Source organism: Homo sapiens, chromosome 2, assembly GCF_000001405.40.
Source record: "Homo sapiens chromosome 2, GRCh38.p14 Primary Assembly".
NCBI lineage: Eukaryota > Metazoa > Chordata > Mammalia > Primates > Hominidae > Homo > Homo sapiens.
This window is the reverse complement of record NC_000002.12, coordinates 64,342,816-64,364,785: the sequence shown is the minus strand read 5'-3', so window position 1 is coordinate 64,364,785 and position 21,970 is coordinate 64,342,816. Positions and strand designations below refer to the sequence as shown.

Below are 21,970 nucleotides of genomic sequence, written 5' to 3'. Positions count from 1 at the left end.
TTAAAGCTGGCTGCTGTGTCCTTTTGACATGTTCCTGTCATTCTTTGAGTACTACCTGGCTCACAGCCACAAGGTATTCCGAGCTCATATATCTCCGCTCCAGCCCTAGAATTGGCTATTTTTCCAAGGTGCCTGATTCCTCTTAGTGGAACGTGATATTTCCAAACCATGGTCTGGGTCTATCTGAGCCCTGCCTCCTATCCTACTAAGCTGTGCTCAGACCCCCAGTATGATACTGGAACAGGCTGAGCCCTGGCTATGAGCTTGGCAGAGTCCCCAGATCAGGGTACACCTGAAAGTGAGCAGGTCTGGCCCCTCCTGTGCTACAGGTGAAGCCTGGGGATGTGGGGTGGGCCCCATCCGTGGAACCAAACTGGCTCTAAATTATCTACCGAGCCCCAAGCCCTCAGAAGGACCCACAGGAGGTCTGCCCAGCCAAGGGCTTCAGAGTTAAGCTCGAGGAGCTCCAACAACACAAGGCAAACTCTTAATTGCTGCTTCCTGCAAACAACTGAGGAGGGAAGTTGCAAAGAGAAAACTCAGGGGTAAAGGAGCAGGGAGAATCTGTCTGAGATATGCAGTGACAGCCTCCACCACATCAGACTGAAGCCAGTGCAGGCCATTTGCCCCAGGAGGCACTTTCTGCAAACTTTGCTTAAGCTCCCCTCTGTGCTGAGGAATGCCCCCAGCTGGGATGCTTAGTTCCAGCTCACAGCCTGGCAGAAGAAGATGCAATGCTACAAGCGAAGAGAAATATTTCATAGAAAAGCAAGGGGGCGTTGGAGCCAGGCCTGATGATGAGCTCCACCTGCCATTTCCTGAGGCTGCAGCCAGGGCAGGGTGGGGCTAGAGGGGATCTTTTCAGGTTAGTCCTTGCTCACCTCCTGTGACTCTATCTCCTCAAGAGCAAGCTTCATGAGAGATGGTCTTGCTGGACACTATAGGAGGAAAAGAAGGAAGACAGGAAGATCAGGAAGGAAGACCAGGCTGAAGGGACGGGCAAACCACCCTTGACAGCTCTGCCCAGTATGACTGGGGTGGCTGTCCATCTGAGAATAAGAACTCAAAAGGCACATGGATGTTATTTCTCAATGGCAGTGACAGTCTGTGGGTCTCTGATCCTATCAGACTGTCCTCAGACAGAGAAGGAGGAGGTGAAAGGGGAAAAATACTGCCTTGTAAGAATGGGCAAAGACAAAAGTACTTCTAGGCAGGAGGTGAGAGAAGCAAGGTTGGCAGGGCAGAGGCTATCCTATAGTGAGTCTTGCATGCCTTAGGAAAAGGTGCCCATTCTGGGTACGGAGCCCAACGATCAAGAGGTGCTTCTGTGCAAACTTTAAACGGATGCAGTCCCATACCAGAATACACACTGTGGCAAGTGAGCTGTAGCTGAATTTCAGCCTCCACTCATCCCCTCAGCAGGGCATATTTGTGCAGGGTACAACCAACACCACTGTCCATGGTAGCCTTGAGGGTTGACTGAATTTTTACTGAGGGAATATAAATTTGTTGCTTTTCCCGAGTGGAAAAAAATATACACTAAGAACTCTATATTCCCTGCTGAAGATTTTCTCAGCCTACTTTGAGGCCTGAGCTTGGCTGTGGGGAGAAGTACCAGTGGAAGTTCTGACAGTGGGAGGAGGAATTGTATGTTTCCCATACAAGGACTGTCCCGTACTGACAGGAGGAAGCACATTCCTGGTTCATGATGGGTGAACACCCATGAATGGAGAATGGACGCCAGCAAAGACCATGCCTGGCATCGCACAGGGAGGGAGAATTGCCACAGCTTTGGGAATGAGGAAGAAGGCAGGAGACGGCATCCCTGCAGGGCCAAGGAAGAGACTCCCTCTTCCCAAAGGTAGAACAGCTGTTTCCCTGGGACGAGGCTGTGGAGGGAGGCACCTGCATTCCCCAGGCAGCAGGTCACTCTTTCTGTGCAGGTGTGGAGGAGAGAGTGGAGATGACTCAAGCAGGGGAGTGGCTCATTGCTGTTAGGCAGGTCTCAAGGCCCTGGGGTGCTTCACTTTCCTTCTCGCAGCCCCACCACTTTTTCTGTGACCTGAGCTTGTGCTTAGCTCTGTCAGGCTGCCAGTCAGTTCTTACTCAACCAGGAAAATCCATGAACCCCAGAGTCTGGCTGTACAACACCTGCCTAACCAGCAGGCCTGGACTGAGGTCAATGCACAGAAGAGAAAATACAAGTGTGTGTGTGTGTGTGTGTGTGCATGTGTGTGTCGAAACACGTATATGTATAGGGAGTGAATGGAATGTCCATGGAGAAAGAGACCTATTTTCTGTGGGTATTCTCCTGAAATCATCCTTACTTTAGCTCTGGGGGGCACAGCTCTTGGATGAGGTAACCCTGTGGAAATCACGACCTACTCTCACCTGAGTCTGCTGTGGTTTAAAGGAGCAGGAGTAACTGAAGGAAGAAAGGGCTCATATTCAGTGGCTGTCCTAGGTATGGGGTGAGGGCTCTTCAGGGGGACTAGAGGGGTCAGACTGTCAGTGAGGGGGCTGCAAGGCTGTGGCCTCAGGTCTAGCTCCATTGAGGGACAGAAGGCCCAAGAGGACCTGCTCCTCATCACTCAGCCTGTTCCTTCCCCCAAACGTCCTCCCTCCCCTTTTACCTACCCTTAGGAGCCAGCGCATTCCCCCTCCTCTGTTCCTCCTTCCTCACTAATTCTAGCCTCTCCTGTGCTTGTGATGCAGGAATGAGCAAGGGCTGAGGGCTGCAGTCCTGTCTCTGGGAGTGAGGACCACTGCTCACCCTTTCATGCTGACTGCCATCCAAGGCGCTGAGCGTAGTAGGCTTTCCCCTGGGGGCAGTGAGAGCCAGCTGTTTCCCTGCCCTATGGAATCGCTTCCTCTTCCTTCAGTGGTTCTTTGATCCAGTGAAGGCCCCCAGAGTCTCAGGCTGGCATGGTGCATAGTCAGTTCAAGTCAATTCAGTCTCTTTGAAGATGTCCGTGGAACTTCACAGCCACACTACATTAAGTCTGCTTCCAGGAGCTGACCCTGAGATAAGGGTTTGTGCACATGTGGTTATGAAGGCTGTGCTCCCACGAAAATCGCAAGGGAATGTGGACAGTGGAACAGAAAAGGAAAGCAAGGGGCTACCTCAGGTGAAGTCAGCAGCAGCCTGGCCCCTGAGGAGCTCTGGAGTAGAAATGACACCTTAGAGTTTGTTCCACCTTGAGGCAAGCGAGCTGAGTGTCATATGGTTATCAATCATTGGCTGCAGGTGGCCTCGAGGGTTCATACATTCCCAGCCTGTCTGCTCCTGAAGGGTGAAAGTGGCTCTGTTAGCTTGAGGACAGGACTGTTAGGGAGCCACAGGGGCAGGTTGTTCCCAGCAAAGCTCCCACAGCTGGCGGGGGTGGGCTGTGGGGAGGGTTTTGAGTGGATCTGGCCGGGGCACTGACAGAGTGTGTGGACGCGAAGGGCAGCTACAGCATCTCCCTTGGAAATCAGCCGGCGTGGGCTGGGGCTGGCAGCAGATGACAAAGGGCTCTGAAACTGTGGCAGGGAGGATCTGTCAGAGTGGGGAGATTGGGTAGTTTAGAGATCATTATGGGCATCCCCTATAAGACTTCTCAATATCAAGCTTTAAGTGGAACCAACAGATTTGCATGGCAAAGTTCAAGGTGTTGTTTTCCAGAATCATCACATTTCTCCTTCCCACTCTGTTCCTTCGCCTTCCTCTTATCATCAGGCTTTTTCATTCTACGGAATTCCTGTGTCACCTGCTGTTTGGACCACTCTCTGGCTGCTCACAGTGCCTTGACGTCCTCACAGGGTTAGTTCCTGATGGTTGTTATGCACGCAGCTGTGGAGATGAACTTGGATTTGATGCTCAGCTCAACCACTTACTGTGTATCTTGAGCAAGTTACTTAACTCTGGTAAGCCTCACTTTGCTCTGTAAAATATCATAATAGGAGGACCTACTTCACATGTAGTGTGAGAATTAAAATAGATAATTCACGTTAAGTGCATAGCAAGGTATCCAGCATGGTTTGCGCTCAATAAATGTCAGCTGTTGTTTCCAAATAATTGTCGTTATTCTTGTGTGCAGACAAGGTTTCCACACATATCTTGGTTCTGTCTGAGGGCAGGCACCAGATACGGTACCATATGCACTTAAGTAGGTGTTCATATGTGCATGGGGTTTACACACAGAAAAATCTGGGCAAGGAGAGAAGCCCATAGGTTCAGGACCCCTCAATCAGCAAAGCCTAGGATATCCACATTCCTCATGCTGGAGCTACCGCCCTGATATCAGAGCACAACATACACAGAGACAAGTGCCCCCTGGTGCCATCCTGCCTTTTTTACTATGCCAGCACCAACAGCCTGATGAGGGAGGCTCCCCTGCCTGAGGGAGAAATGTTCTCCAGGAGGAAATATAAGGCTTGGCAGGAGAAGGCAGTGGAAAGGAGGCTGGAGATCAGGCCATCAGGGAGGGCAGGGAGCAAGGCTCCCACGTGTTCTGCTTTGCCTGGGACAGCTGTGAGCCAAGTCTCAGGCTAGTCAGAGAACAAGCAGGTTCGACTCTGCGTTTCCAGGCCAGCCCATGCTGACTCAAACGTTACTCAGTCCTGGGCGGGGTCACCTAGCTCTCTCTGAGTCTGCCTTATTAGAGCCTTAGCAGTCCCCAGACTGGCTTCCCTGTTTAAAGCCCATGCTTGTCACTCTTTCCACTGCCACAGAGAATGGGGCTGAGTGTGCACGGCACTGGCTACCCGCTCCATGGGCTGCTGCCTCTGCCAAAGGGAAGATAAGACTTCCCTTCATCCACAGCTGCTGCCAGTGAGACACACTCAGGTAGGGGTGGCGCCCAGCCTCAGAGAGTGCTTTCAGAGTGCCAGGGAGAAGAAGGAGGCAACACCGCATGCATCTTGCTGCAAATAAACAGAATCCACCCTGGAGAAAGGGATGAAACAGGGGGTTGTGTGAGTAGTCCAAGGTGGGCAGGAAGTGGGCGTGTTGGTAGCAGGCAGCTGAGCTCTCTGAGGGCATTCTGGCCATTTTGCATAAGCATCACAAAACCTAGGAAACGTATGGTCAGTCAACCAGGAAAAGCCGAGAAAAAATGAGACACAGCTGCTTGTCAGATGTTACACACATGCTCAGTGTGAGAAGCCCTGCCAGTGACACACACACTCATATATGCACACACACACTCAGGCACACGCACTTGCATGTGGCATCAATGTCCATGTTGGAAGATGAAGGATGGCCACTAATAATACTCCCCTTTACCTTCCAAGTTTTCAGAAAACCAAATAATTTGTAGTCTTGTTCTACATGCACAGGCTGGTCTAACCTAGACAACCCCATTCCAGGTCTTTGTGGCAGAATGATGTTAGAACTCACCCTCTCAAGGCCTTCTAGGAACAGTGGGAAGTTAAAACTGTGGGGAAGACAGTGGGAGGTAGATGAGTCAAACCTTTTGTGGTCATGGACAACTTTAAGAATCTGATTAAAATTGAGGGGTTCTCTCTCTTTAGAGAAATGTGCATAGAGTGTATTTGTACAATACTGACATGTGACTCCAGGGGGTCATGGATCTCCCTCCCCAAGAGCCATGTATGAGTCCCTGGTTAAAACACCCCATTGTGAAGGATTCCGAATAGGAACTGAGCTAAACAAAGGCAAAGCACCAATGATGCTGGCGTCTCCAGCCACCACCCCCAGAGTCCCCATCTAAGGGATGTCATCCTGAGACTCAGAGAGTGACAGATGACAATGTCAAACCAGTGACACATCTCAAAGAGAAACCATCCATAATGCTTTCTCAGAACCACCCATTAGGTTCCAGACCTTCCAGTGTTCAGGGTACCACATTCCTAGGCCAGTAGGAGAGCAGGTGTGGAATGGCTGGATGAAACACCTTGAGGTGACAGTCCCCCCACCATCACAAATAGGAAACCAGCCTATTGTGGGGAGTTTCCCTGCCTTGTTGGAGGAGGCAGCAGCAGAACAATGGGAGTGTGGAGAAGAATCCCACACGGAGTGCCCTGTATGGGAAACTTGGAGACAAGCTCAGAATGAACTGTGATGCAGAGTGCACACTGACATGCCACTGCAGGTGCATCTCAGAAGGTGAACTCAAGGGCACGGGGACTGGGGCAACTGTCTACTTCACCTTGCTTCATGTTCATCCATTCACTGAGCTATCATTTATTGAGCTCCTGTGATGTACTAGACACTGGAGAAACAGACGCAATGACATGGCCCCAGTCCTCAAAGAACTCACAGTCTATCAGGGGAAACACAGCCCTACACTGCACATGATGAGGCAGTGCCATCTGATGAGTGCAAGCCCAAGCTTCTCTCTGAAGCTGAAATTATACTGCTGGAAATCGGCATGTGTTGAAGAAAAAAACCTTGTGCAGTTTGTGCCAGCATAGTCCAGAGTAGGACTCTCAATCTTGGCTGGGTATTAGAATCACCTGGGAGGTTTTGTTAACCTATCAATGACCAGACCATGCCCCAGATGAAGTAAATCAGAGTTTCTGGGTAAGGTCTCAGTCATCAACATTTTTTAAAGCCCTCCAGGTGATTCCAACATGTAGCACAATTGAGAACCTCTGGCCAGAGCTTCACATTCTCCTCTTGTGTGTACTATTATCCCAGTGTTCCCTGAATGGAAGCATTCATGATTGAGGAGTTTAGGACCTTAGGGAACAGCCAGGATGGGGTTGGACTCGTGAGTAAATTGACTTAAGCAAAAAGAGCTTTCAAACATTGTTTTATGTTCATGTAACTCAGTGACCAGTCCACTACTGACATCTTCAATTTCTCCAGGCTTGATTGATGCCATGAACACAGAGAGGGATCATGGTTTGTCTTGCTTACATCTAAGGCCCAGAATCAACTCTTCTGGATTGAATGACGGTTAATGATCTCTTTCCTTCAGGCGGAACTTTCTTTCCATCCCTACCTGAAAGGGTATAACCTGGTCCCATAGTCCCAGCAGAACAGTCATCATAATTTAGGGAGCATTTCCCAGCATTCCAGGAAATATGTAGGATGTGGACGTTTGTTGGTGTTGAGGTGCAGAAGGCAGTGATTCAAAATATCACAGAACCAGTAGGAAAAGGCAGTTCAGTAGGAATTCGCTCAGGGAAAATGACACACAGCTGCCTGTCAGGATACTGTACACATAGAACTCCAGGTGCCACACACACACACACACACACACACACACACACACACACAGAGAGAGAGAGATTTTATCAGCAGGCAGCATCATCCAGAACAAAGGCAGCAAGAATAAATTCCTTTAATTCCCAAATGCTCAGAAATGCCTATCGGCCCTTGGTTTGGATGGGTTAAACTTGGAGATTCATGAGACATTGAACTGAGAGAAGCCACATAGAGTTGTATGAGCCAGTCTTGCGCTGGAAAGGTCTGGGTTGGTGAGTGACATTTGGGAGTCAACAGCATAAAGAGGGTGTTTCAATCCCCAGACAAGGATGAGGTGCCTCAGGTAGAAGAGACTAAGGAGGGCAGAGGCTGGAACCAAATCCTGGACTGCTTGGGCTATTAAAAGCTGGGTAGAGGAGACTGGGCAGACATGGTGGTGAAGGAGAAGGGACACCTGGAGAGGGGTTGGCCCAGGAGGCAAGCAGGGGTCCAGGAGGAGGGAATGGGCAGGGGGAGAAGACTAGGACAAAAACATGACCACTGGATTTGGCAACAGGGCAGTCACTCGGGCTTGAACAGGGCTATTTCAGTGGTGTGGTGAAGGCAGAGGCTACGGCAGTGAACAGGGGACTCATTCTAGAAATGTTGAGTGTGGTGGGAGCAGAGGAGTGCAGCTGCAGCTGGGGGACATGTGAAAAGGGGAATTTTTAGTGTGTATTTTTATGCAGATGGGAATAATTCTGAGGTCAGGGAGAGGGAACAAGGCAGTAGAAAGGAGAAAAAGGGGGTATCCCAAGGAGTTCAGTCCCTGGGAAGATGGGGAATCTTTCCAGAGGAGGGAGGATCTGGCTTTGATGAAACAGGTATTTAGTTACAGTTCATGTGCTGAAGGACAGAAGTAAAGGTTATTCTACTTAGCTGGGAGGGAGAATACTTCTTGTTCTTTTCCCCCAGGTGGTCTGTGCTTGGCGGGTACTGGAGAAGTCTCCAACAGCAAGATTCCTGTCAGTGGAACATAGGCAATTTATACTCCCCTGCCCTGAGCTAATCAGAATTTCAAAAGGCATATTTAGACGTACTGTATCATATCTGAAACAGTTATGGGTGAGTGTGGGTGGTTTACCACTATCTAGGTCACATGTATTAAAATATAGAAATCTGAGCTCTCTTTAATCCATAAGATGAAAGTAAATATTACCAGACAGCAACAAGAGTACAAAAGAATGTTCTGTCTGTGTGGCCTCAAAAACAGAGTTTTAGAAAAAGTACAGCAAGAGTCCCAAACAGCATGAAGAAAACCAAAATAACACTCCTCTACTCTGTTTCTAACTCATGAAGTAGTGATCTAGTCTTTATCCCACGAACTGAAGGAAGAGCCAGTCACCCTCAAGAAAGCAAGTGACTATGACTTGTGAAAATTCTTACAAAGAGTGTTGCATGGACATAGTTACTGGATTATATTTCTGGAAATGAACTACTCGTGGCGAAATCAGTCTTCCAGAGAAAAATTTATTCAGATTTTTATAACCTTGTATTTCTTCTCAAAAATTGAGGAGGAGATATCCAATGAAACAGGAAAAAATATGCAGAGAAGGACATTGTTTTAGTTGATTCTTGAGTGCCCATAAGTGAAGTAGGGGCTAATATGCATTGATCAAATGAAAGAGGGGAGAGACTTCCATGAGCATGAGGAAAATGAGGAAAGCGTTCGGCGTCTTGCCCTGCTGGAAAGTGCTTGGCATCTTGCCTTTCTAGTGCCCTCAGTACCGAGTCCAACCTGCACCACACCTTTCCTCCATGTGAATTTCCTTCAACATCTACACATTTGATCACAGGCTGTCTTTCCAGAGCTCTTGAGACATTTCCTGTTCTCTGAACTTTGGCTCCCACCCTTTCCCTCTCCTCCTTAAATTCTCCCCCTTAGTCCCCATGACAATCATCACTTTCCTGAACACATTAATTAATGCTACTTGAACCAAACAGAAAAATGTATCCACTCTAGGCTAGGTAAGCAATGACATGCTGCTCTAGGGTGGGACCACGAGCTCTGTTTGGTTTGTCTTTGCCCGATCATTTCCTCATCCTCCTAAGTTCAAATCAGACAGATGGCCCAGAAAGTGCAATGGGCAAGTGGTCTGCTTCCCTTGGCCATTATCTCCAGGATGTGCTGTGGCACCGGGAAGTTCACACACCATGAGAGATTTCAGTGACATTTCCAGGGCCCTGTGGAGGGTGGGAATAAGTGGAGAAGTCTGGAAAGTGCCCTTGGCTGAGGCCAGAAGGAGTTGGGAGCTTGCCTGCAAGCCCGAGAAGGTGACTCACTGGGAAACAACCTTATAGATGAGTGATGAGTAGGGATGTGGCCAGGAGTGGCGTGAGGAAAAGATGCCTTTGACACATTCTAAAGCTAAGGTGGCAGGGTGGTTCAGCATTTCTCCCCAGCTTGCCTTGTGCTCTCTCCCAGTCCAGCTTCTGCTCCCGCTCCAGCTCCGGGCCCTGTGGGACCAGCCCTCAGAAGGGAGCTCCTCCCTCCCACTCTCCCGCTGATCTCCTCAACCATAACCAAGAGAGTGAAGGAAATCAACTGCTATCTTGTTGTACGTGGTGACCACAAAAACAAAGAGTTGTGCTTGTGGTTTGGAATGTCATCTCAGTTGTGAGGATGCGTGTAATCCTGAGTATGCAGAAGTTTGCTTGTGGTTGAAGGTGGGACAGATTACAGACTTCGTCATGTGTTTCTAGGAAACACTGATACCCTTTCCTTGGGGATTATTATTAGACCAAAGATGTCACAGGGGGAAAACCTCAACCACACTGATGGCCTCAGATCCATGCCCTGTTAGCTTGGCTCTGGGGTATCCAACTGCACCCACACTGGACACTATGCCAGTCTGCAAGATTGGGGGGCTGCCTCTGCCTGTGCACGCTGTGGTACCCAAGTATGACCACACTGCTCAGTGCTCAGTACCAGCTAGTCTCTTCCAGAAAGAGGTGGATGGGTCCAATCTAACTTATAAAACCTATTTCAATACTATTTTTAAAGAAGTTCCATTACCAAGAAACTACTAAAAGTTATTACCTATTTGCAGGGTGGTGGGCATAAAGCTGGGAGAAAGGGTTCTCAATATTTACTTTTGTAATATTTGTTTATTAAGATTTTAATTTTAGTTTTTTGTGTACTGAGTGTTTATATTTATGAGGTACATTAGATGTTTTGATACAGATGTGCAATGCATAATACTCACATCATGTAAAATGGGGTATCCATCCCCTCAAGCATTTATCCTTTGTGTTACAAACAATCCAATTATACTCTTTCACTTATTTTAAGATGTACAGTTAAATTATTATTGACTATCATCACCCTGTTGTGCTATCAAATAGTAGGTCTAATTCATTCTTTCTATTTTTTTTGTACCCGATCACTATCTCCACCTTTTCCTTATTATTACCAGTGAGTTTTGTACGTTCAGATGATTTCTTAGTAGTCATTAATGTCATTTTCTTTCTGACTGAAGTACTCTCTTTAGCATTTCTCTTTTTTTTTTCTTTTGAGACGGAGTCTTGCTCTGTCGCCCAGGCTGGAGTGCAGTGGCGAGATCTCGGCTCACTGCAAGCTCCGCCTCCCGGGTTCACGCCATTCTCCTGCGTCAGTCTCCCGAGTAGCTGGGACTACAGGCGCCCACCACCACGCTCGGCTAATTTTTTGTATTTTTAGTAGAGACGGGGTTTCACTGCGGTCTTCATCTCCTGACCTCGTGATCCGCCCGCCTCGGCCTCCCAAAGTGCTGAGATTACAGGCGTGAACCACTGCACCCGGCCTCTCTTTAGCATTTCTTATAGGACAGGTCTGGTGTTGATGGAATCCCTTAGCTTTTGTTTTTCTGGGAAAGCCTTTATTTCTCCTTTATATTTGAAGGATATTTTCACTGGATATACTATTCTAGGGTAAAAGTTATTTCCCTTCAGCACTTTAAATACCTCATGCCACTCTCAGTAAGGTTTCCACTGAAAAGTCTGATGTCAGATGTATTGCAGCTCCATTTTATGTTATTTGTTTATATTTTTTTCTTGCTGCTTTTAGGATTCTTTCTTTATTCTTGACCTTTGGGAGTTCAATTATTAAAAATGTCTTGAGGTAGTCTTCTTTGGATTAAATCTGCTTGATGTTCTATAACCTTCTTGTACTTAGATATTGGTATCTTTCTGTAGGTTTGGGAATTTCTTTGTTATTATCCCTTTGAATAAATTTTCTACCCCCATCTCTTTCTCCACCTCTTCTTTGAGGCAAATAACTCTTACAGTTGCCCCCTTTGAGGCTATTTTCCAGATTCTATAGGTGTGCTTTATTATTTTTTATTTTTTTCCTTTGTCTCCTCTGACTGTGTATTTTCAAATAGCCTGTCTTCAAGCTCACCAATTCTTTCTTCTACTTGATCAATTCTGCTATTAAAAGACTCTGATGTAGTCTTCAGTATGCCAATTGCATTTTTCAGCTCCAGAACTTCTACTTGATTCTTTTTGGTTACTTCAATTTCTTTGTGAAATGTATCTGATAGAATTCTGAATTCCTTCTCTGTGTTATCTTGAATTTTTTTGAGTTTTCTCAACACAGCTCTTTTGAATTCTCTGTCTGAAAGGTCACACATCTCTGTTTCTCCAGGATTGGTCTCTGGTGCCTTATTTAGTTCCTTTGGTGAGGTCTTGTTTTCCTAAATGGTGTTGATGCTTTTAGATATTCTTTAGTGTCTGGGCATTGAAGAGTTAGGTATTTATTGTAGTCTTCACTGTCCTGTAAGGGCTTGTTTGTATCCATCCTTCTCAGGAGGGCTTTCCAGATATTTGAAAGGACTTGGTTGTTGTGATCTAAGCTGTATCTGCTTTAGGGGGCACCCCAAGCCCAGCAATGCTGTGGTTCTTACAGACCCTTAGAGGTACTGCCTTGATAGTCTTGAACAAGATCTGGAAGACTTCTCTGGATTACAAGGAAGAGACTCTTATTCTTTTCCCTTACTTTCTACCAAACAAACGGAGTCTCTCTCTTTCTGTCCTGAGCCACCTGGAGCTGGAAGTGGAGTGACACAATCACCCCTGTGGCCACCACCACTTATTGCACTGAGTCAGACCTGAAGCCAACACACTACTGATCTCACCCAAGGCCTACTGTAACTACTTCCTGGTTATGGCCTATGTTTGCTAAAGGCCCTGGGACTCTACAATCAGCAGGTAGAAAAGCCAGCCAGGCCTGTGTCCTTCCCTTCAGGGTGGTGAGTTCTAGTGCCCAGGTATATTCAGAGGTGCTGTCCAGAAGCCAGGGACTAGAGTCAAAAACCTTAGGCATCTACCTGGTGTTCTATTGTACTGTGACTGAGCTGGCACTCCAACCCCCAAAACACAGTCCTTCTCACTCTTCCCTCCCCTTTCCAAGGCAAAGGAGCCTCACCCCATGGCCACTACAGGCACATGGGGAGTACTTCCAGACTACCACCAATGTCTCCTTAAGGCCCAAGTGCTCTTCAGTCAGCTTGTGGTGAATGCTGCCTGGCTTGGGACTCACCCTTCAAGGCAGGGGCTCCTCTCAGGACCAGGGCAGGTCAAGAAATGCCATCCAAGAGCCAAGTTCTAGAATCGGAGACCCCAAGAGCCTGCTTGGTGCTCTACCCACCTGTGGCAGTGTTGATATCTAAGGTGCAAGGCAAAGTCCCCTATGCTTTTCTCTCTGCTTTTTTCAAGTGGAAGGAGTCTCACCCCGTAGCCACCACAGCTGGGAATGTGCTGAGTTTCACCTGAAGCCAACAAGTCTGAGTCTTACCCAAGGCCTTCCCTGTAGTACCTGGGTATCGCTGCTGGCTTCTCAGGGCCCAAGGGCTCTTCAGTTAGCAGGTAATGAATCCTGCTAGAACTGGGTCCTTTGCTTTAAGGCAGTGGATTCCCTTCTGGCTCAGGGTGTGTCTAGAAATGTCATCCAGGAGCTAGGATCTGGAAAGGGGGCCTCATAACTCTGACTGGTGCCCTATCCTGCTGTGGCTGAGCTTGGTATGCCAAGATGCAAGACAAAGTCCTCTCCACTCTTTCCTTTCCTCTCCTTAAGCAGAGGGAAGGGGTCTCCTTTGGAGTTGCGAACTGTGCAGCCTGGGCTTAGGGGAGGGGTGACACAGACACTCCCTTAGCTGCCCCAGCTGGTGTCTCAATAGGTTGCATGCTCCCCCAGTCTGATGTCTCTGGTCCATGTTTAGCACTAGGACTCACCTAGGAATTGGAGTTCTTGTGACCTAGACTGCCTTTCAAGTTTATGTAGGACCCCAGAGCACTTTAGTCCACAGTGGCAAGGCTTGAGATAACTCAAGTTCAGACCACTAGGATTGGCAATTCCCTTCTGGCTAGGGCTGATTTAAATGCTCCTCCCATGGGTGGGTGTCAGGAAAGTTTGGTCCGGTTTTGTTTTCTGTTGTAATAAGGCAGCACTGAGTTCAGTGCCTGACAAATGCTGCAACCTCCCTCTCCCCAGCTCACAGAGACACTCTCCACACCAAGCCACTGCTGCCAGGTGATGGTGGAGGGGTGGCATCAGCGATCAAGACTGTTTTTCCTACCACTTCAGTGCCTGTTTCAACAATGTGAAATTAAAACCATGTACTGTGAGTGCTCGCAGTTTTTTTGTGTAGATAGTGGCAAAATTGGTTTCCTTGTAGGGAGGAAAATCAGTGGAGTCTTCTATTCTGCCATCTTGCTCTGCCCTAAGTCCCTCAATGTTTACCTTTTTATATTATCTTGGATTTTAAACCATGTGAGCCTATCTATATCTATATCTGTGTTTAACTTTTAAAACTGTATTATCTCAGAAATTTTCTTCTAGCCAAGAAATTCTAAAAAAAGTTTAAGTTGCTTGGTGAACAGTACAGTATTCATAGTCATAGGTTCTGTGTCAGAAATGTTCTATGTGCCTTTGGCCTTTGACTCAAGGTAACCTCTCCCCGAACGCCAGGGACTCTCATTTGTCAGGCAGGAACAGGAGGATAATGTTGTCCCCAGTCTCCAGTAATCTCATGGCCTCTGAGGAAGGTATGAAATGGGTGAAATGGTTCCCTACATCCCCATTCCTGAGGAGGACTCCAGAGAGGCAGAAGGAAGGAGAAATAAGCAAGAACCACCAGTACCTTTGAGGCAGACACACCCATTTCCCACTGGAGACCATCTGCTGGGGATTATTTACCACTAAAGACCTGCAGAACCATGTTGGAGCTCAAGGACAAAAGCAACCTATGCACTCCCATACGCATTTTTTTTCTGAGACACAGGGTCTCACTCTGTTGCCCAACCTGGAGTGTAGTGATGCGATCTCAGCTCACTGCAACCTCTACCTCCTGGGCTCAGCCTCTTGAGTAGCTGGGACTACAGATGTACACCACCATGCCCAGCTAATTTTTTTATTTTTATTTTTTGTAAAGATGGGGTTTCACCATATTGCCCAGGCTGGTCTTGAGCTCCTGGGCTCATGCAATCCACCTGCTTTGGCCTCCCAAAGTGCTAGGATTAGAGGCATGCACCACCATGCCTAGCTCTGTATGCATTTTTGTAGCAATTAATTTTTTCCAGAACATTAAAGTTGCTGAAAAATACTGAAAAATTGAAAAGTAGGTATACTATAACTCATGGAATTATTTTAGGCTTAAATATTTGATTTATATCAAAATTGAATTTATTATAATTTCAGTTGGGCTTAAGTTTATGAAAAATTATTTAAGATTGTCATATGTCAAGAGAAATCATCAAACATGGCCATTCTCTCAACTGAAGTGGAGATAAGCAAAGAAGTAGATTTGGAAAACATGATGGATGAGTTTGCTTCCACTAAAGCCAAGGGGCACATTTTTCCTTTTGCCTCAGGCTCCAATATGGCTCAGCCCAGCCCTGGTCTTTATTTTAAATTTTGATATTTTGTTCATCAGATTTTTTTGCATTAATTTTGATTTTTAAAAAATATGGCATTGAAATATTATTTATCTCAATTACTGAGTTTTTGGTGTTCCGTTCATTTTGCACTGGTTTGCCACAGTGAACCACAGCCAATCCTTGCCCAGTGGATTGCTTCCTGGATCTCTGTTGTCAAACTTGTATCCTCATTCAAATCCTCCCCGGCAGTCCCCTTAATGCCCATGACTGAGGAGCTGTTTCCCTCAGAGAACTTGTCTCTGCATTACATCCTCATCATTCAAAGCTCTAATCCCTGGAACCCACTTCAGTAATTCTGCTTTGCACCTGTAAAGCTATTCAGAGAATCACCAGCAGTTGTCCTTCAGCCTTGGCTAGAGGGAGTATACAAATATAATTCTCTTAATCTCTTGCAAGGCCTTTAATCATTCTTAATGCACTCTGTCTGATTGGGCCTGCTAATGGAGACATGCCCTGACAAGGGGGATCATAGGAAGAGAGAGTGACACTGAGAGTGACACCGACAATGCACAAACAACTTAGACCCAACTCCCCCAAGCCCCTTCTAGTCTGCCTCCATTCCCCCTGCAGAGGCCACTCTAACAGAAAGGGCACTAGAGTGGCTCCTTTCCATTTCCCCAGTTGACATCCTCCCCCGCCAACCAGATGTTTTACAGCTGGAAAGGGGCATGGGCAGTTGTTTCCTTTGTAAAGAGTTGTAGTATGAATACAATTTTCCACACGCTGACTCATGTGACTGTCACTCCATCCCTGGACTCCAGCACACAGTTCCAACTCCTTTGCTGACTTGGGGGTTGGGATGGAAAAGCTACTTTGATCCTGTAATTTAAGTTACTCCATGCCTCAGTTATTCACTCCTGCAGGCAGGGAATGGACTCTGAGTGCTCTCACAGTCCCTTCCAACCACAGGACTCTGCTGGGCTAGTATGAGAATCGTCTGGACAGAGCTGCAGTGTGACACACTGCTTCTGGGTGTGCAGAATCAAAGGAAAATGCTTATGGGCACTCCAGCTCACCTAACCACCTCTGTCATTTTAGTGTCATTCAACTTTATTAGGGCTATTTCTCTGAGCGTTTCTTTCCATTAAATGTTCCTGCTTATTTTGCTCAGTCTGTCCATTTATTTAGCCTTTCTGTCACATTTTCCATCTTGACTAGGTTCCACTTACGCGAAGGCAGAGAAGCCTCATTCCTCCTGGTCCCTGCCACCATGGCCTAGAATGTGGAGTGTGACAGGTGAGAGTGTAGGCTCTGCAGCCAGGTGGACCTGGTTGAATCTTAGTGCCACTATTTGCTAGCTGGATGGGTAGCTGGGCAGATTACCTAAGCAGTCTGTTGGCCCCAGATTCCTCTTGTGTAAAATGGGATGCTGATATGTGGCTCAGAATATTGTGAGAATTACAGATCAGGTGCAGAGCTTGGTGTTAAGCATTGAGTAAAGAGTCAAAAAATATTAGCTGTGGAATGCATAAATGAACTTTTGCATGATAAAAAAAAATCACCATACAAGAAATACATGAGTGCATTCTTGTTCATGAATTCTAATAGTATAGAAGTATATGGAGGAAAAAATGAAAGAATCCTTTCATTGACTGCCCCTCTTTATCTTCCTCACTTCCTCAACATTCATAATAGTTCTTTATTTCTCTTATTTTGGAGAGAAAAGGTAATTATCTAATATGTGAATGTATTCTTACTGTAAATATCTAAGTGATCGGAAGCATACCACCCCCAAAACTGGAGAACATTCCCTTCAGCACCCCTTTCACTCTTAGTGCTGCCTCTGGAGGTAAGCACTCCAGAGAATCTAGGTAGAGACTTCTCATCTCTATTCTATTCATTTACACACACACACACATATATGCACACACACACACATAATGTACACACACATATTTATACATCTTTTAAAAATATACCTTTAGCTTTTTCACAAGATGGCACCAAAAGCGAAGAAGGAAGCTCCTGCCCCTCCTAAAGCTGAAGCCAAAGCGAATGCTTTAAAGGCCAAGAAGGCAGTGTCGAAAGGTGTCCACAGCCACACAAAAAACAAGATCCACATGTCACCCACCTTCCGGAGGCCCAAGACACTGCGACTCCGGAGGCAGCCCAAATATCCTCGGAAGAGCGCCCCCAGGAGAAACAAGCTTGACCACTATGCTATCATCAAGTTTCCGCTGACCACTGAGTTCACCATGAAGAAGACAGAAGAAAACAACACTCTTGTGTTCATTGTGGATGTTAAAGCCACCACCAAGAACCAGATCAAACAGGCTGGGAAGAAGCTCTATGACATTGATGTGGCCAAAGTCAACACCCCGATTCGGCCTGATGGAGAGAAGAAGGCATATGTTCGACTGGCTCCTAATTACAATGCTTTAGATGTTGCCAACAAAATTGGGATCATCTAAACTGAGTCCAGCTGGCTAATTCCAAATATATGTATAACTTTTCACCATTAAAAAAAAATGTATATATATTAAACTGTATTTGCTATTCTGGAACTGCTTTTTCTCACTTAGCCATACAATTCAGACATCTTTCCATGCCAGTACACGTATATTCATCACAATTTTTAAATGGCAATATAATATTTTATAAGATATGTACAATAGTTCCCCCGATCCATGGTTTCACTTTCCAGAGCTTTAGTTACCCATGGTCAACTGTGGTTTGGTTACCCATGGTCAACTGCAGTTAAATGGAAAATTCCAGAAAAAACTCATAAGTTTTAAATTGTGCATCCTACTGAGTAGTGTCATCAAATTGTGTGCCATTCCACTCTGTCCAGCCTGTTATGTGGATCATCCTTTCGTCCAGCATATTCATGCTGTCTACACCATCTGTCCATTAGTCACTTAGTAGCCATCTCTGTTATTGGATAAAAAAAAAACATAGCACGTATAGAGTTCAGGACTATCCTCAGTTTCAGGCATCCACTGGGGGAGCTTGGAACATATTCCCCATGGATAAAGGGGTACACTCTAATTACTCCTACTGGTAGACATTTAGATTTTTCTCACAGTTTTTCATTATTATATAAATAAATACCTTTAAGCTCTATAGGCTGAGGACCAAGCCATTCACGTTGGCAGCTGCCCACATGCAACCTGGAGGCAATCCCTCTCCTATACTGTAGAGAAGCCCTTTCTGGGTCTGAGCAAGGACCCTTGTGAGATTAGAGGTCACACAGATCCTTGCACCAGCGTGTCTAAAGCCATGCTCATGGCTGTCATCAAGATCTAGTTCTTCAAAGGCCAGATGGAAGGGCTGGGACCCAGGCAATCTAAATCATTCACAGTCAGACAATAGAAAAAGGCAAGGTGTCTCCAGGAGATTGGCTTGCACTTTACCTTGAAAGACTGCCCAAGAAATTGGAACTGATATTTACAACTGTACTTCTCAGGTATTTGAAGATTGGAAATATGAACAAATGTAGATTTTAGGCATGAGTCATTGTCCAATGCACACATTTGAAAAAACACACAAAAAACCATGACTTGACTAAAACGCTGAATGACAGCAGGTGGTAGAGTTGTTGGATGATGCGTCTGCACATTGTAGGCCCTCCATGAAAGTCTCCTGAATGAATGAATGCATTTGTCTGATGTAGAGCCAACTACAGCTTAGCTCCACCTTGATTTTCCTTACAAGTTTACCTCATCACTCTACCAGAATCAGAGAAGTGATAAGGAAATGTCTCACATCCATTCTAGCCTGAGACTCTTCCTCTTCCAGAAAGCATGCCTGGGTCAGTATCACTAAAGGACACTGTCATTCCATATGTTCCCCAGTTGGAATGAGTAGCCTCAATTGTGCTAATTTGAACATGGCTCCAATATCGCTTTGAGAATGTTTCTATATTCGTGTACCATCAAGCTTGTAGATGTCACTGAGACAAGGGTTGTCTTATATCATTAAGTATGTACAGATTCACGTTATATGTTCAGTCCTACACTGTGTCTGTGACAGACACATATGCAGTCTGCCCAATAGAAACTCATCATCCTGTTAAGAAGAAACTTCGTTCACATCTGAAATTACTAGTGAGTTAGGTAATGTACAATATACACTGTATCAATCAGGATTCCAGTCAGGCAAACAGGAATCATGGCAGATGTTTTAAATAGAGTGTTTCATACAGGAAATTAGTTACAAAAGTGTTAAAAGGGCTGAAAGAACAAAAATGTAAGGTAACCAGAGAATAATAATGACAGGAAAATGGTCGTTGGGGAAGGTGGTGTTAGAGTCCAAGTGTACATGCTGTTGCTTTGTTTGAGGTGCTGTTACAACTGCTGACAGTGCAGGAACCACTGAAGAGGGACCACCCAGGCTAGAGCTGTGACCACTGAGCAGAGGCTGCTTTGGCTGAAGCTGGGGTCATCAAGGGGTTTCAGAAATTTTCAGAGGTGCCCCAAAGCAGGGATGGGGAGAGAGAACAGTGGCTTCTCTTCCTTTTCCATTTCTCTGCCAGAGCCTCTTACTGGAAGCCAGCTGGCAAGGGAACCTGGGAAATGTAGTTTTCAACCTTACAGCCCAGAGTCAGAGGCATGAGTGTGGGGCTGACAGACAACAGGCTAATAAACAACCCAGATTTTAAATGTTGTGATACAGGTGATTGAACAAGACAATGTATAATAAGGGAGTGAGCTTAAAATACAGTTGGTATAAACAAAGTTTTAGAAGAGAGACTACAAGGTACACTGGAGACAGCAAGAAGCTTCCACAACTCTATCAGTGGGAATGTTCTGGATATGAGTGAAGAAACCAACCTCAAACATGCTACGGCTGCAAAAGAGGACTTTATTGGGTTGCATGATTGTGGAATACAGGGTATTCACTGGCTTCAGGGATGGTGGGATCCAGGTCTTGAATGATGTTGCTAGGTTCTGTCTCCTCAGTTTATTGGCTTTGCATGTCTCGACTTTATGCTTCAGACAGACGAGATGGTTATCCACAGACTCCCATCTTCCTAGCAGGTTGACCTCACTAGGAAAAGTCGTTTCATTACATCTGGCAGGTCCCATCCCTGACCCAATCTCAGCTGCCAAGAGGAATGCCACTGTGCCTTACTCCACCAAATGGAATAGAGCAGGAAAAATCCCTCAGCAGGAACAGTGGGCAGCTGTTAACATGCAAAGGAAGATGGGCAAATGAGTGAGCAAGAAAAAGGTATGGCCACCGTAGTCCTCCATATGCACCACAACAGGACATAGGCTGTGCCCTCTAGAAACTGCTATTTTGTCTGAAACCTGAAGAAGATTTAGGGTCATTCTTTTTATTCTGTTTTAAATGGGGTCTCCCTCTGTCACCCAGGCTGGAGTGCAATGGCATGATCTTGGCTTACTGCAACCTTTGCCTCCCGAGTTCAAGCAAATCTCCTGCCTCAGCCTCCTGAGTAGCTAGGACTACAGGTGCCTACCACCACACCTGGCTAATTTTTTTATTTTTTATTTTTTTAAGTAGAGGTGGGGGTTTCACCATGTTGGCCAGGCTGGTCTCAAACTCCTGACCTCAAATGATCCACCCACCTTGGCCTCCCAAAGTGCTGGGATTACAGGCATGAGCCACCATGCCCAGCTGGATCATTTTTAAACCACAAATAAGCCAGTGTAAATTGATTTCCTCTGCGCTGTAATGCTCATGAAATATGAAGAGTCTTGGTCCAGGGCATCTCCCCATAGTACCTGGGGTGTTCTGAGCACACAGGGCACTCTCCACACATAAGGTGGTGCCAACAGCTGCCGGACACAGGAGAGGCAGCCCAGGCTACTGCAGTCACATGGTAATGTCACGTGCCATAAACACATAAGAAAGCCAGGGGATGCTCCCAGGAAGTTGCAGGGTATCAGCCAGAGTCCCAGAAGGAAGATGGCATTCCCAAAGGGTTTAGCTGAAGGGATTTTAATGAGGGGATGATTTATAGAGAGGTGGGCAGATTTCACAGAACCACAAAAGATGGTGAGATACCCAGGAACCTCACCATCCTGGGACTGTGTATTCATAGGTTTGTCACCAAATTTTTGCTAAAACTCAAGGTGCATATTATTGGGGTGCTATTTGGCATAGAAAACATTTGTCCAGGAAATTTTCTAATATCATGTCAAGTTAAACATAATTCATTGCAAATAAGAGGTACAAGGCATAGTATAATAGCAAGCTAGCACAAACAAAATTTGTAGACTTGCTAAAACATGGGAGAACAGCGTAGGCCAGAATAACAGTGATTAAGAGTTCAGGCTCTGGTGCTGGAGTCCCTGGGTTCAAATCCTTACTAGCTATGGGATCATAAGTGAATTTACTCATGTGTAAAATAGAGGTAATATTACTTATCCCATAAATTGTTATGAGGATTAAAGGATTAAATGCAATATTTGTAAGATGCTTAGAACTTTACTGGCACATAAATACTAGCATTATCTACAAAATTATACTACCCTTCCTCCGTTCACTCAATAAATATATAGTCAGGAGCCACATAACAATGTTTCAGTGAATGAGGGACCACATATACAATGGTGATTTCTTAAGATTATAGTATCATATTTTTATGTATCTTTTCTATGTTTAGATGTGCTTAGATACACAAATACTACTATGTTACAATTGCCCACATTATTCAGTACAGTAACGTACTATAGGTGTTTGTAGCCTAGGAACCATAGGCTAGACCAGATAGTCTAGGTGTGTAGCAGGCTACACCATTTAGGTTTGTGTAAGTATACTCTGATGCTCTCATTACGAAACTGCCTAACAATGCATTCTTTAGTAGGTATCCCCGTTGTTAAGTCACACATGACTGTGTATTAAATATTTACTATAGGCATCATCCTAGGCTCTGGGGAAAGTGGTAAGAAAAAA

General features: G+C 45.9%; 1 pseudogene, besides 1 other annotated feature; it reads left to right on the top strand.

The window, feature by feature from the left end:
- Positions 743–882: an enhancer, noted in NCBI's record as "active region_15892". NCBI's record gives its function as "activates an Ori minimal core promoter by ATAC-STARR-seq in GM12878 lymphoblastoid cells {active_cell/tissue: GM12878}" and the evidence as "EXISTENCE:reporter gene assay evidence [ECO:0000049][PMID:35858748]".
- On the top strand, positions 17,037–17,568 carry RPL23AP37 (ribosomal protein L23a pseudogene 37; annotated as a pseudogene).